Source organism: Homo sapiens, chromosome 5, assembly GCF_000001405.40.
Source record: "Homo sapiens chromosome 5, GRCh38.p14 Primary Assembly".
NCBI classification, from domain to species: Eukaryota; Metazoa; Chordata; class Mammalia; order Primates; family Hominidae; genus Homo; species Homo sapiens.
Genome location: NC_000005.10, coordinates 92,664,278 through 92,678,837, shown reverse-complemented (window position 1 = coordinate 92,678,837; position 14,560 = coordinate 92,664,278). Strand labels below are relative to the sequence as shown.

The 14,560-nt window shown below is 33.9% G+C and overlaps 1 long non-coding RNA gene across 3 annotated transcripts in view; it reads left to right on the top strand.

Annotated features, from left to right (window-relative positions):
• LOC105379082 (uncharacterized) overlaps window positions 1-14,560 on the top strand; it is a 135,090-nt gene that overhangs the window by 9,389 nt on the left and 111,141 nt on the right. For 2 of the 3 annotated variants that reach the window (NR_188298.1, NR_188297.1), the window contains exon 2: window positions 7,245-7,354. This is a non-coding gene — a long non-coding RNA (uncharacterized LOC105379082). Of the gene's footprint in view, window positions 1-7,244; window positions 7,355-8,941; window positions 9,087-14,560 lie in introns of all 3 variants that reach the window. The other variant, NR_188296.1, reaches the window with a different exon arrangement.

Below are 14,560 nucleotides of genomic sequence, written 5' to 3'. Positions count from 1 at the left end.
TTCCATCATGATCCATGGAGTTCTGACCATTCTCACAGGTCTCTGTACAGTCTGCCCTCTGGTGCCCTAGGCCTGTGCTGCCAGTCGCATTCTCCAGCTCATCAACTCTGAAATAAAAAGCAAGTTCTTAGCTCAAAAGGAGACTTGATAGAAGTAGCCTGAATTCAATTTCAGAAAATCAAATACTGTCAAAGACTGATTTTGAAAGAAGGTTTTCTACCATTAAACAAGAAGCAAAAAACAAAACAAAACAAAAAACTCTCTTAAAATGCCAGTTGAGCATAGCTCTAATTATCAGGAAAAAGGTATAATATGAAGGAAACATTTTCAGCATACTATGGTTGACATTCTGCAAGGATTATAAATTGATTTTAGATTTTTGGAAACTATAAGTTTCTATTGGGAAAATGATCTATACGTGGAATGCAGTTATTAATGAAAGTCATCTTCATTATTTCACATATTCCTTTCTAGGAAAATAAGTTATCACCAAGTTATTTTTTCTTCTCACAGTATCTTTAAAAGTTAAGCAGAGATTCAGATAAAGTCTACTTACTGACCCTTACATGCAACATTTCTTTTTTAAGTTTGGTGTCCCAAAATCTTCTATAAATAAGATTGGAAATACATTTGAGGAAAGGAAAAGCATATACTAAAACTTTAAAATACAGTTAAGAGTTTATAAGTCACATGATGAAAATTTATTTTATTAATTTTAAAAAGCTGCTAGTCTTTATGGAAAACATATTTATATTCTAAAAATTGATTTCTAAAATATAATAAATATACAGTCTTATATTAACCTGCAATGATAACATTCAGGCTACTTAATAATTAATTGTAATCAATTGAAAAAGATCACTAAATTTGGAATCCACCAGTTGAAAAGGGGATAACAGCAAACATTTTTGTGGCATTAACAGTTTATAATAAATGACTTTCACACATATAATATTATTTATATGAATAGCGCTCTTTGAAATGCATAGCAAAGTTTTTATCTTGTAGGGGAATAGTCAGCATTTAAAAAAACAAGCACTGGAGAAACTATAAATCTGAAAATTTTGCATTAATTAAAGTATTATGAATTCATTTGTTAAAGGGAAAGTAGAGTTACAGCTGATTTTAATGATGAGCTATATTGAATTGCTTGCACAATAGCACACATGTCTTTGATGATACCAACCTCAGAAATAGATCATTTTAAGCAGCAAAGGCAGCAATTATAGAAGTATGTCAGGTTACAAAAACTGAGTAATTAGACAAGAATTTATCAGGGCATGATTCAATGTAGGTATGGTTTTTTTAATATTAATTTCTGTTATATCTTTTTATAATAAAATATTTTAATCTCTCTCAAGATCTCTCTAGTTTAACTAAATCCTCCCACCAGATATGCAAAATAAAACCATGCTAGTCATTTTGGAATTGTGAAAAAAAAAGGAGGTAATAGCGTGTTGTGTTCAACTCTACTGCTCCAATTCATTTCAATGAGAATCAGTCAATAAAAAGTCCCTGTTTCAGCAAAGGCGGGAGAAGAAACAAAAGGACTTAATGAAATGATCTGTTTACAAAATGCTAAGTGAGGGTTCTATGAGAAAACAGCATTAAATCCAATTTTGGTTTCCTAATGCAATTTAGGAAGTCTTATATGCTCCCAGTTTTTGCTTGTCTTTTTTTTCTTTTTGTGAATGGACTGAGGCATGTGGTCTTTTTTCTTTCCTTAACATTAATTTTTTTAAAGCTATTTAACTTTCTTTCTCTTCAACTTTGCTACAGTATTTCTAAGTAGCCCAGAAAAGATAAATCAATGCCTGAACTGTAACCTTACACTTATATACTTGTTAAATGACTTTTTTTTACAGTCTGTTATTGCTAGAAATTGGATTGCTTTTAAACTAATGCTGTCTGGCGGGCAAAAGTGAGTGAAACCGCAAAGCCTGGAGGAACACTAATTACTTGTTTTAATTAGCAGCAACTTTCACTAGAGTATAATCTCCCTACAGGCCACTTTTCGGTAGGTGTAGAAAAAAATCATGTAGGAACAAACTGATAATCTCTTACTTGCCCCTAAATGAGAGCAGAACTCTGATTCTAGTATAGACATATCATTTGTACAAGCCTCTAAACCCTCAGGAAACAGGGCTTACCAGGCTAGGCTACCCAATTCAAAGATCTTTAGCAATCAGTTGTACAATAGAGCCCTTATTTTATGCTGCTACATCATAAAAGTGGTCCTTTTGTTACATTTCCATCCTTAAAAGGGTCTTAATCCCTTTCTTTTCAGACCAGTCTATGGCAAATTCCACTGGGACATCCCATTCGCCACAAGGACTGAAATGACCCACTCCGAAAGCAGCATGTGAAGCTTTGAGTCTTTCTTCCCTCCGCCACTCTCCAGAGAACATTAAATCGTACTTTTCATTCCCCTCACCATAGGGGGAACCCCCTTAATGATGACAGAGAAAGAAAAATTCCATCACACTGTCCTATGATACCATTCTGCTGTCAAGCAGGCGTTTCCCTGGTCAGAGAATCAAACATGGCTTCCAGCAGGTGGATGTTGCTGAAGGTCACAGACAGCAAAATGCAGAGGTTACACATGGAGGAAGCACAGGTTCCCACAGCAAATTAAGTCATCTGTGAAGCCTTCTCATTTCCCAGCGACTAAATTTATGACTGCTTTTAAGGGTCATCATCGCTTGCATGCACTTGCACTTTATTTAAAGTATTTGAGATTTTGGAAAAGCAGGGTTGTCCCAATTAAAAATACATACATGAGCTACATGTTTAAAGAAAATGGGGAAATTTAAAAATGTGTTTATGTAACTCTTTTAGTAATTTTAAAAGTGTAAATAGTAGATTGAACATGAGCATGTTTCTTTTTTTTTAGAAAATCTTTAATAATGATTTATTATTTCTTGTTTTTAATTATACTTTAAGTTCTAGGGTACATGTGCACAATGTGCAGGTTTGTTACATATGTATACATGTGCCATGTTGGTGTGCTGCACCCATTAACTCGTCATTTATATGAGGTATATATCCTAATGCTATCCCTCCCCCAACCCCACGACAGGCCCCGGTGTGTCATGTTCCCTTCTAAAGTGAAGGTGGTAGTCTGGGAAACAGTAACATTTCCCCTTGATATGAAAAAATTATTTTAACTTTTTACATCAAAGGGCCTGAAAAAAATCCACAGCATTAAATTTGTATAATGCTGTTATAAATCTTGATTACTATGATATGGATTCCTATAAGGCTTGAAATATGCCTTTTATTAAAACAAATTTAAACTAGCAAGTTTTTTATAAAATAAAAATATGGAATAGTAAGTCAGTAATTTTTACTAGATTCAATGACCTGTAATTTAATCCAAATTAAAAATAAAGTTTTCTTATAGGTTTTACCACTATTTAGTTTTCTTATTATTTAATATGTATTTTAAATTATACTGTAGTTTCTTCTCAAATGTTGAGAGTGAATAGAATCTATTCGTTTATATAAATGTCTCAGATAATTGTGTAATAAATCTTTGCAAATGTTGACATTTCCAACTGTAAATGGCAATAGCATTGTAAATATTTTTTTGACCAGATTATGATGATATTTTTCAAAAAATTAGAAGTTCATTGTTTTATTGGTTCTTTTTTAATTAATAACTTAGAAGAAGCTTTAATTTAAAAGCCACACCCCACTCATTTTCAGATATAACTTTATATATAAACCACATATTCTAGGAAAATATCATATGTACAAATAATTCTATAGGGTAATATCATATACACACATTCATTTATTTCACATTCAAAGATTTAAAAATTTTGAAATTACAAAAACAAAAACCTAAAAATCAAGCTCAAAACCAAACATAGCAATTTTATAACACAATAAATATTGACTCTACCATTCTTAATATTACTCAGGTGGTAATATTTGCCCATATGTGATTATTTGGAACGTTAAGATGAAAGAATCCTCTAAATGCTTATACTATAACTTTAACTTGTTATTACAGTATATTTCTCTCCAAGAGCTTTATTTTAGCTTGCACAAAGGTGCATTTGGTTATTGTTTTATAAAAAGTGAAAAATTCATAAAGCATTTATACAAAATTATTGAATCTGTGTCTTGAGATTTGTTTTCTTCTATGGCAGCCTTTGTGGATAGCTTGTGTTTGGGGTCCAGCCTGCTGGAGGGATAGAAATGCAATGCATGAGATAGCAAAAAGAGGCCTGAATCAGAAAAAGTAAACATCTAGAATAAAGGACAGTTGAAAGGGGCTTTGTGAACAAGGGGTGTTGCAGTAGAGAATGGGTTAGGGTGAGGCTGCCCCGGTTCTTTGTTCCTCTTCACAGCGGTGGCTCTGAGGGACATGCATTGTCCCCTGAATGAACTGACCATCTCTCAAACAGCCTAATAGCCACCCCTGTAAGCACATTTAAACTATCAAGCCTAAATATTTAGAGTTATTTAGGGCTCTTTTTTCATTAATTAGTGGCTACCTACCTACCATTCCTTGATTTTTCTGTACATTCCCTTTCCCTAGTGCTTTCTACAAGAAGCATTCTGAAATCCAAGACTAAATACTATGGCTGAAACTTGATTCTGTTTAATTAAGTCTGAAGAAAAACTGTTTATTTTATAAGACTCACGCTGTATAGAGAACATGTGCATCACGTGAGATGCAAACTCAAACACAGTTTACTCCGACTTTAAGATTCTAGGCAGAATATCTTTTTTGCGTATCATTTTGTTTTCCTTGCTCTTATGTGGAAAAAGAAAACCCAGGTCTGAAGAGGTATCGTTCAGAATCTATACACTACAGGAGGAGAAAAAACTTTACCAAATGCGGGTTGGAAAGAGGAACTATTAAAAAAAAAGAAGTAAAAAACCATAATTTTTTTCCCCACTAAATATCAAGGTATGTGTGTTTTATAATCTTCAAGATTCTCTAGGTAGATGTCTTGATGGGAAATAAAACTTGAATGTCCATGAGGGATTCAACCACAGTTTCAAAGTGTCATTTAAATTCCATTATTAACTTTTTCAGTGTTGTGAGTGGTGATTAGCCTCTTAGGGAAACGCTATTAATACAATGAGTAGATTTAATTACTGAAAATCCAAGTGTAGAATATAAGCATATTTTTATCATTATTTATATTACTATATGTTAATACATGTGTTATATAGCTTACAGCTTATTTGATAAGGCCTTATAGAAATGGTAGATTTTTCTTCTGAGATAACAAGTGATAAATCTTAAAAAGATTTTAGTCATTGACTTCTAAAGCAAACACTTAACTCTGACACAAAGCACCTTTCCCAATTATGCATTTGGCAAGACTATGAAAGTGCAGGTATACTTACTATATTTTAGCAATTTAATTATTTTGCCTTTGAAGAGCATTTGCTTTTGACTTTAAAATATAATTGCCAAAACAAAGGTAATTTTACACTTGGAAAGATGTGTTAATACAAATAAATATTTTAATTATAAAATAATTTTATCAATATATAATATGGATTCTGATTACACAACTGTGTTCAAATTATAAAAATTAGTCTATGTGACATTTATTATTTGTGCCTTTTTCAGTATGTATGTTTTATTTTAATGAATGTCCTATTCAAAATTGTATAGAATTCCCAGAAACACAGAATTTCAGAAATTACTTGGAAAATTATTTATATAGATTTCCCAAAAGGTTATTAGTTTTGAATGGATAACTTTATATTCAGATCTCATCCTGACAAGGTGGAAACATTTGACCACTCCTTTAAGCATCTTTAAAAAGGGTATAAATGATAAACATGAAAAAACTCTGTAAACCAAATGCAAATTGTAATTATAAAGTATTGTTAAAATGTTATAGGGGATAGTAAGTTGCATGAGACAAGATTGCTGACTTCTAAGATCTCAAAATACAGAAAAAAGTCAGGCATATTCATATCCAAGTGTGCCAATTGTTCTGATTGAAATACAAAGAACCATGAGGTTTATTTGATAAACGCTTACCATGTGCCAGTTATTGCTCTAAGAGTCTGTTTGAAGACAAGGTCTCGTAGTAGCATGATCATAGTTCACTGTGGCCTCAAATGCCTGGGCTCAAGTGATTCTCCTACCTCAGCCTCCTGAGTTGCTGAGACTACAGGTGCAAGCCACCACACCTGGCTAATTTGTTTTATTTTCTGGAGACAATCTCACTATGTTGCACAGGCTGATCTCAAACTCCTGGTATTGCTGTTATAAATATACTCTGTAGTTCACAAAAATCTGTTCAACTGATGGTTCAGATTTCTGAGCTAAACTTATGGATCATATTTGCTGTGTTTTATGTTTTATGAAGTACTCATTATTTTCACTTTTATCTCTTGGTTCTTAAAAAAAACTTTAAAAAGAAGTATTCATTATTGAATATCCATTTATTGAGTGTGTATTCTGCCACATCAAAAACTTGCACTATGATTATTAGGCACACACAGTCTAGCAGAAAAAATATGGAATCGTTGAATATATGATGATAAATCATATAGTAAATATGCTTTCATAGTATTCTAGGAGAAGAATGGAAAGGTAGATTTGTTCTGACTAACAGATTTAGGAAAGACTTCAAATTAAAAGTGTTACTATTTAATCTGAATTGATGATTAATTTAGATTACAAGATTGACATTTAATCTGGAATCTAAAAATGAATAAGATTTTATGAGTAGACAAGAGAGGGAAAGAGATGCTCTTTCTTGAATGTTCTGGATATCCATGTAAAGCTGTATTTACACTCTGTGGAATATGTTTTTCTTTCTTGAACTGTAACTGTTATGGGACAATTTCCCATTATTCTTATATACCCCTTAGGAGTAAGGCTATGATTTCCAATTCTCTTTTATCCAGAGCTCAATTAGCATAGCATTTGAGAATGTGAATACTATTGAGGTTTTAATACCTGGTTGCAAATTCTTTGACACTTTTCAATGGAGAGGTAGGGTCAATTCCCCTCCGTTTCAATCTGGCTGGGTTTTCAACTACTATGAACAATTGAGTATGCTAGAAATGACACTTAGGACTTCCAAAGCTAGTTTACAACAGGCCATGATGCTTCTGTCCTGTTTGCTGGAACACTTGTTCTTGGATCCTTGAGCTGCCATATAAAAAGCCTGACCAACCAGAGGCCTCTGTGTTAAAGAGGATCCAGTGACCAAGCCCAGCTGAGCCTTGTCCTCCATCTTCTATTCCCAATCTAGGTGCTGCAGCCCATCCATCTGCTGAATGTTGCCAAGTAACAGCCATCCATGGAACATGGAAAAATGAATTCACCCGGCCAGGCCCAAATTGTCGACCCACAGAACATGAGGTATAATAAAGTAGTTGTTGTTTTCAGCCACTAATTTATGAGATAATTTATTACATAACAATACAGAGCTGGAAAAAAACTAGAACAAATATGTTCAATTTTTTTTTTACGTATATTAAAATGCTTGACTTTTCAGATCCAATTATAATCTTATCCTTCTCATTCCTTCTCTAGATTTGTTGAATGAGTGAATATAAGATTGAATTAATAGTACAAGCTTTTACATTAAATAAGCAAGCAAAATAAATATATTATAATAAAATTTGATAAATACTATGAAGTAACCTAAAAGAGTGTTATGAAACACAAATACTAGAAGAATCTAGTGCTCAGGGAAGATTTCTCTTCAGAAGTGAAATTTAAGCCAGACCTGAAAGATGGGAAGGAACAGGCAAGGGAAGATTGAAAGAGTGAACTTTCCAAGAAAAAGGAGCAGATATGTGACAAGTCCCCAAATGAAAAGAGCTTGGAAACTCTAGAATTCATAGGAAAATGAAACAAAACAACCACTACAACTAAAGCAAAATAAGAAAATGAGAGAACAACTCAAAGCAAATTTGGAGATACGGCTCAAGAGCCATATTAAACAGAAAAATTCCTTTTAAAGAGTTTAGATTTAATTCCAAATTCAAAGGGAAACTACATAGATATTTTATAGGAATTAGTCATTATTATTTCTATTTATACATAAAATATTCATCAGGTCTCGTTCTACTAAAATATTATATTTATGAGAGTAATACAGCAGATTAACTTTTATTTTAATCTTTATTTCTTTGTGGGAATTAACTTTGAATTTTTACTTGCAAAACCAAAAGCATGTTCTCAGCAGGAAAAATAGTGACATTCTTTTTTTACAACTTGTCTCCAAATAGTAACTCTCCAAAGAAGTATCTATAAGCTACAGTGGAATGAAGAGTTAAGTGGAGAAAGGAAAAAGGCTCAAGTAGAATACAGAGTTGAAGTTCTGTTTGTTCCCAACATTGAAAAAAAAGTACATTTCCAACTGTCGTAGTAAAGACTAAAACAGTATTTCTCATGGCAGTTGTAAGGCTTAAGTAAAATAATCCATATGCTTCATTCATGACATGGTGTGTCATATAGTGCAGTTTCAATAAGTGTTATTATTGTTATATTGTTATATATGTAAAAATTTAGCTAGGTGACTTTTTTCCTGAAATGATATTAAGGATGCTTGCAAGTTGGACTTTCACAAGTTGAGTAGTCTTTGTCAGTAGCACCCATTTATTTAGAGAGGCGAACTCTTCTAAATTACATGGAATACACCTGGCAACCACTGAATAGAACCCTTGTGTTGAAAACAAGCTAATTAACCAAACTATAAGCCATGATATAATAAAAAACTATTCCTTAAAATAGGAAGTTTAAAACATTTCTCTTATAGCTCATAGTACAGTGATACCAATATTACTTGGGATTGCGTCACACAAACCTGGATATTTAATATAATCAAAAAAGACTGAAGTGGTATGGGCTTTTTCTTCTTTATTTTCCCACTTGAACGTGCCACAGGTATTTGAATTTGGCCACTTTTCTTTCTCACTCTCTTCTCCCATCTGCAAGCAGATGCAGAAGCTCTAACCAAGGATTCCTAGAGAGAAAGAGTAGAGCCATGAGACGAAGGGAGCCTGGGTCCCTAAATCACCATGTCGGAGCTCTTCAGCGAAAAGCTGACGCTGAGCTGCTACGTGAGCAAGAGACACCTTGCCCAGTAAGACATTTATTGAGCTTTTTAGATTGTGTTTTACCAGTTGGATAACATAATTAATATGATCACATATTCTCCATCCACTGCAAAAAAAGTCTCTATTCTCTTAAAAAATAAGCATGTTATTTAAAAAATAAGTCACTGAAAATTACCATCTTTTTCTCTAAAGAAATTCTGCTCCTTAGTTGCTTCTTTCTTTCTTTTAAAAGTAAGGCCATTTTCCCAGTGTCTCAGCCTCGAAGTCTTGGTGCTGGTTGTCACTGGCTCCATCTTGCCCCTCATCTGTAGTCAGCTACCATCTTCAGTAAAGCCTGAATTCTCAATGATCCTCACATCTAGCCCTTCCAGCTGACTTAGCAGTTTAGACTTTTAGCACCTTTCAATGATCATTATGTCAGAAATCTAACCCCAATTTACTTGGCTCTCAATCCATACTCAGAATTGTGCCAAGAAATATATCAGTCAGAGTCCAGCCAGGAGATGAAAACCATACCTGTAATTTGAACAGGGTATATATAAAATAAAGAATTTGTTAACTAATAAATGCGATTAAAAAAGGACTCCACGTCAAGTGAAACAGTAAATGCAGAAAGCAGCTACTATATCTAAGGCTAAGGGAGAGGGAACAAGAAGAAACTAAGAATGAACTTAAAAGAGGAATTCTCTCTTAATGCCAAGACTCAGACCTTATGGGAGAAAGTATGACTGCCACAGAAACAAATGGCTTGCTGATGGTTAAGAAACTTGCTGAAGAAAAAAGTGATCCATAGAGGGGTTGAGAAACCTGTGGGGCAGTGTGTCACTCAGCATTAGGAATGTCCCATTTAGTGACTGAGAGACTTGCTGGAGGGCACAGGCCGACCTGTTCCCTACAATAGGCTTACCAAGTGGCCAAGAAAACGGTCGGAGGATATAGGTGGGCTGGTCCCTGAGGAAAGTCTATTTCTAATATTTGCTTATGTTCCTGCAGAGCTCTCTACTAGAAGGTCTAACATTGAGTCACTGGGCAAAGGAGAAAGGTTGACATGGTCCGGCTATATTTAGTATTACAAAGCAGGGAAAGAAAAATAGATTTGGAACTGAGAAAGAATAACATAATAAGTAGCACAGAAAATGAGAGAACAGCAAAGTCTCCATTTTCCATTAGCTCAGAATCAACTTGAACTGAGATTAAAAAGTAAATATTTGTAATAGATTTAGGTAAGTGCTATGATGGAGTATACAAAATGTTCATAGGAATATAGAGATATACATAATTCAGGTTAAAGAAATAAAAGAATGATTGTGGAAGAGCCAACGCTGAGTTTCAAAGAGTGAGTAGGCATTAGCTAGATGGGAAAGGAATCATGAGGAGAAAGCTTTTCAGATAGAGGAAACAGGAAAGGCAAAGGTTAAGACTGGGCCAGAGCATTGCTCATATGTGAATTGCAAGTTACATAAATTGCAAAATATGGCCAAAAAAAAAAAAAGATCTTAGTAGGTAAGCATGGGCTAGATCACTTATTTGTCCTGGTTTGAAAAGGTTGTTCTAAGAAGTTTGAATTTTATCCTGAAGACATTGGAGAGCAAATTAAGGATTAGAAAGTTAGTAGAGGAGAGTCAAGATCAGAATTACCATACTGAAAATCCATTGGCTGTGTGAATTCAGTGTCATTTTAGAAGGACTGATCTCTCTGTTTGCTGGTGAAGCCCAAATACTAATACCTTCACCTGGCACATAGCTCAAAATAGAAGCTCAGAAACTATTTGTGGAATAAGTGAATAAATGAGAGTTTATTTTAAAGATGGTGACTAACTCTACTTGAGTTAGAGGTGTTTGAATATTCAATTGTGGAAGTTTAAGAGCCGGGTGAAGGCAAATCTCTAGGTCAAAAGAGCATTCTGCAAAGTTATTTAGTGTTGGGAATTGCCAAGATATAGACAGGATTTGAAGCCTTGATTCAGATAAGTTTATGTAAAGGGAGTGTAAATGGAATGTTATAAAAGGAGGCTAATGAAGAACTTTGGAGACATCAATAATTAAACAGGAGTAGAGAAAAAGGTGTCAGAAATAAGACTGAAAAATAACCGAAGATTTTTGACAAGAACTTGAGAGAGAGGTAACTTGAAGAAAAAAGAAGAGAATGGGAACTTCATCAAAAAAGAAGTAATGGTCAATAGCTTCAAATGCAGCTGAGGAGTCAAGTAAGAGAAAAATGCAATTTGAATGCATTTTTAATTGGCTTTCTCTTCCTAAACCTATGATATAACCCCCATGTTTCTCTGTCGAGTTTTATTAAAGTCTAGCTCTAATCATTTAACTCCCTCTTTAAAAACCTTCACCAATTCCCCTCAAATCAATTGCCCTGAAGTCCCTTTCAAGAACAATCAACTAGTGCCTATCCTCAAGACTGGTGTGACCTCTCCATGCTTTGAATCCCATTGCATTTCACTGGGATTTATTACATTCAGCTTTTTGTATTAATACATGTGCATTTTTCTTATCACGTCGATAATCTCTCTCAACTGGGCTATAAGTTTTCTGACAATAGTTGTGCCTCACTCTTTGTAATTCTGTAGATTTAGCATGATGATTAATTTTTTTGAATTGTATTAAGCACTCATCATATTCTGAACACTGAGCTAGATTGCTTTTACCAATAATTTTGTTAACATTAAAACATAATCCAGTTACAAATATTACCATTTTGCCTACTCAGTGAACTTAAAATACCTTTTCAAATAACTAGTAAGTGAAAATCTAGAATTTTAAACCAGTCCTATATCCTGGCAAGACTGTAAAATACTTTTGTCACACTGTACTACCTTGAAGAAGGAAGGAAACATATAAATATTTATTTTATTAAGTTGGTTTGAATTGATATCAATCTTGCAAATGGTTTCAAACTATGTGGGACAAATAGTTTACTCCATCTTATTGCATATTTTTAAATTATATACTTTGGAAAACAATATAGAAAGCAATGGTAAGGGATACAGTGAGGGAGGGATAATAAGTTGTAGATGACAGAATTAGGATTTGCAATGATACTGACAGATTGAAATGATGAGTTAAAGTAAATGAGATGAAATTCGACAGGAAGAATTCTGGAGGATGCATTATTATGGGGGTGGTAAAGAGGTGAAAGAGCAGGTGGGATGGTTTTAAACAGTTCAGGAGAAAAGGAATGAGGACTCAAACTCCGTTAATGGAAATGGATGTGAATGACACAGAGCATTTAGAATCTACATAAACCTTGACAAGTGAATGGGTGCAAGGATAAGGCAGAAAGAATCAAATAGGGCTTTAAATATTTGAGCCTGTATAACCCAGAAAGGTGAAGACATTGAGAGAGAGGTCAGGAGGACCTGGTTTGGGAGTCAAGTAGAAAGAAAGCATAGTTACTTCAACGTTGAGTATGCATGTTATTCAAGTGAAGATAATGTCATCTTCTTTTTGAAAACTGGGAAACTGTTGACTCATTTCCACTCTTTATTTTAGGCAAGCTGTTCAATCATTCATTATTTTTAGAGGTACATAGTATTGAACAAGTGCTTTGTGCCAAAAACAAAGCAGGGTGCTTTATATGTATTATCTTAGTTAATTGTCATAACCTGTCCTGAAAGTTCATTTATAGCTGAGAAAACTGAAGCTGACAAATAGAAAAGACAACTTAAGATATCCAAAGTCATTTGAAGACATCCAAAGACATTTGTGGAGATCACTAAAACTCAAATTAGATTCATTACTTAATTGCTCTACTTTTTGTGACGTTTCTACCTAATATGAAGGGTCACTTATCCCCTGTTTTCAGCTCACTGGACTTGATGTGTGAATTTGTCTCCCATTTTGTCCCCATTTTGGCATTTACTCATGTGCTAGATCTACCTATTTCTGGCCTCCTTGCTTAGGAGGAGCTCTGGCATATGGAACTAAAATTCTGAGTTTGACCTATCTGGCTAACTTAGCTCAACTGACCCTATCCCACCCTTGTGTAAGAGTGATCGTGGATCTCATCACACAGGAGTGTCATCTTGAAACCCTCCCACTCACTCTGAGCTTTCTAGAATTGTTTGAACTATTTCTTGAAGGTTGTGTGGGAGTTAACTGAGTGAAGAAGATAAGAAAGGTATTCCAGACTGGAGAAACAGCATGTGCAAAGCACCATGTAGGAAAGGCACAATAGGTACATGTAACTGTCTTGATGATGTTTGTTATGCTCTTCTCAATATCAAGAGTCTTTACATTGTTGGTTAAAGATAAAGAATAAGAGATGGGTAGTTGTGGGTTTCACCTCCATCTTCCCAAACCAAGTGATTCTCTCTTTTTGCTCATCTTTGTATATCAAGCACAGCTAAAGCTGACTTTCCTGTTTTCAATATTATCCCTAAAACTTATCTCTCCTTTGACGTTCCTTAGTGTTAGTCTTAGAGGTCTTATGAAATTATCTTTCATTTATAAAGATGAGCTCTTCAAAAAATCCATATGATTTCTATAGATATTCCTTCTTTATTTATTCCATTAGATATTTCTTCTTTATTTATATATAGGTTTCATTTTTGTTTTGTTTATCCTTTCTTCTCTTAAAAATATTTTTGGTGGTGGAAAGGCAAAGGAGGAGGTTCTAGACATCACATCATGCCTATACTTTGCCTACTTTTTAAATAAATGCTCTCCTAAAAACCTACATGTCTGTCTGAGAATCTCCAATAGACAATTTTTATACTTTTATGAACTCCTAGGTAACATGGCAGAAACTGCTGCTTATGTCTCCCCAGTATTTAATATTTTTCTTTACTTTCTGAGTGAAAAAGTCCACAAATTTTACCAGAACACATAATAAAGACCATATTTTCAGTCTCTTGTAGCAAAGCATGTTCTTGGGCCTAAATTTTGACAAATTTAATGTAAATAGAGATTATGTGTATGCAGAAAGTGTCCTTAAAGGAAGATGACATAAGCTTCTTTAATGAGGATGAAATGATTGGAGCTTTAGCAGCCATCTTGGACTAGGTTGAAGAGGAACACATCAGAAATGCAGTAGTAATAAAGAAGATAAAGACTAATAGCAGGCAGTATATTTAGTACTTACTATGTAGCAAGAATGATTCTTCACAGTTTATATGTATTAATTTATACATGCTTCACAACAATCATATAAACTAGGGATCTCAATTTCTTCACCCTAAATAGTACTTAAGAGCAGGAATCATGCAGACACATTAACTGGGCCGGCGTTTTGATCCTGCATTATACAATTGGTACCTTATTTAGCAAGTAAGGAGTTAAGAATAGAGTCTGAAAATGAGAAACACTCATTAAACATTACCTACTATTACTTTTGAGTAGTTATTGCAAATTACTATCCACAGTTCCAATTAACAATTTTCATTAAAGTAATTTATAGTTAGTGATTATAAATCTATTTACAGATGTAGAAATTGAGGCAGAGGGAGATGAAGTGACTTGCCAAAGATTAAATAACTAGGAAGTGGTG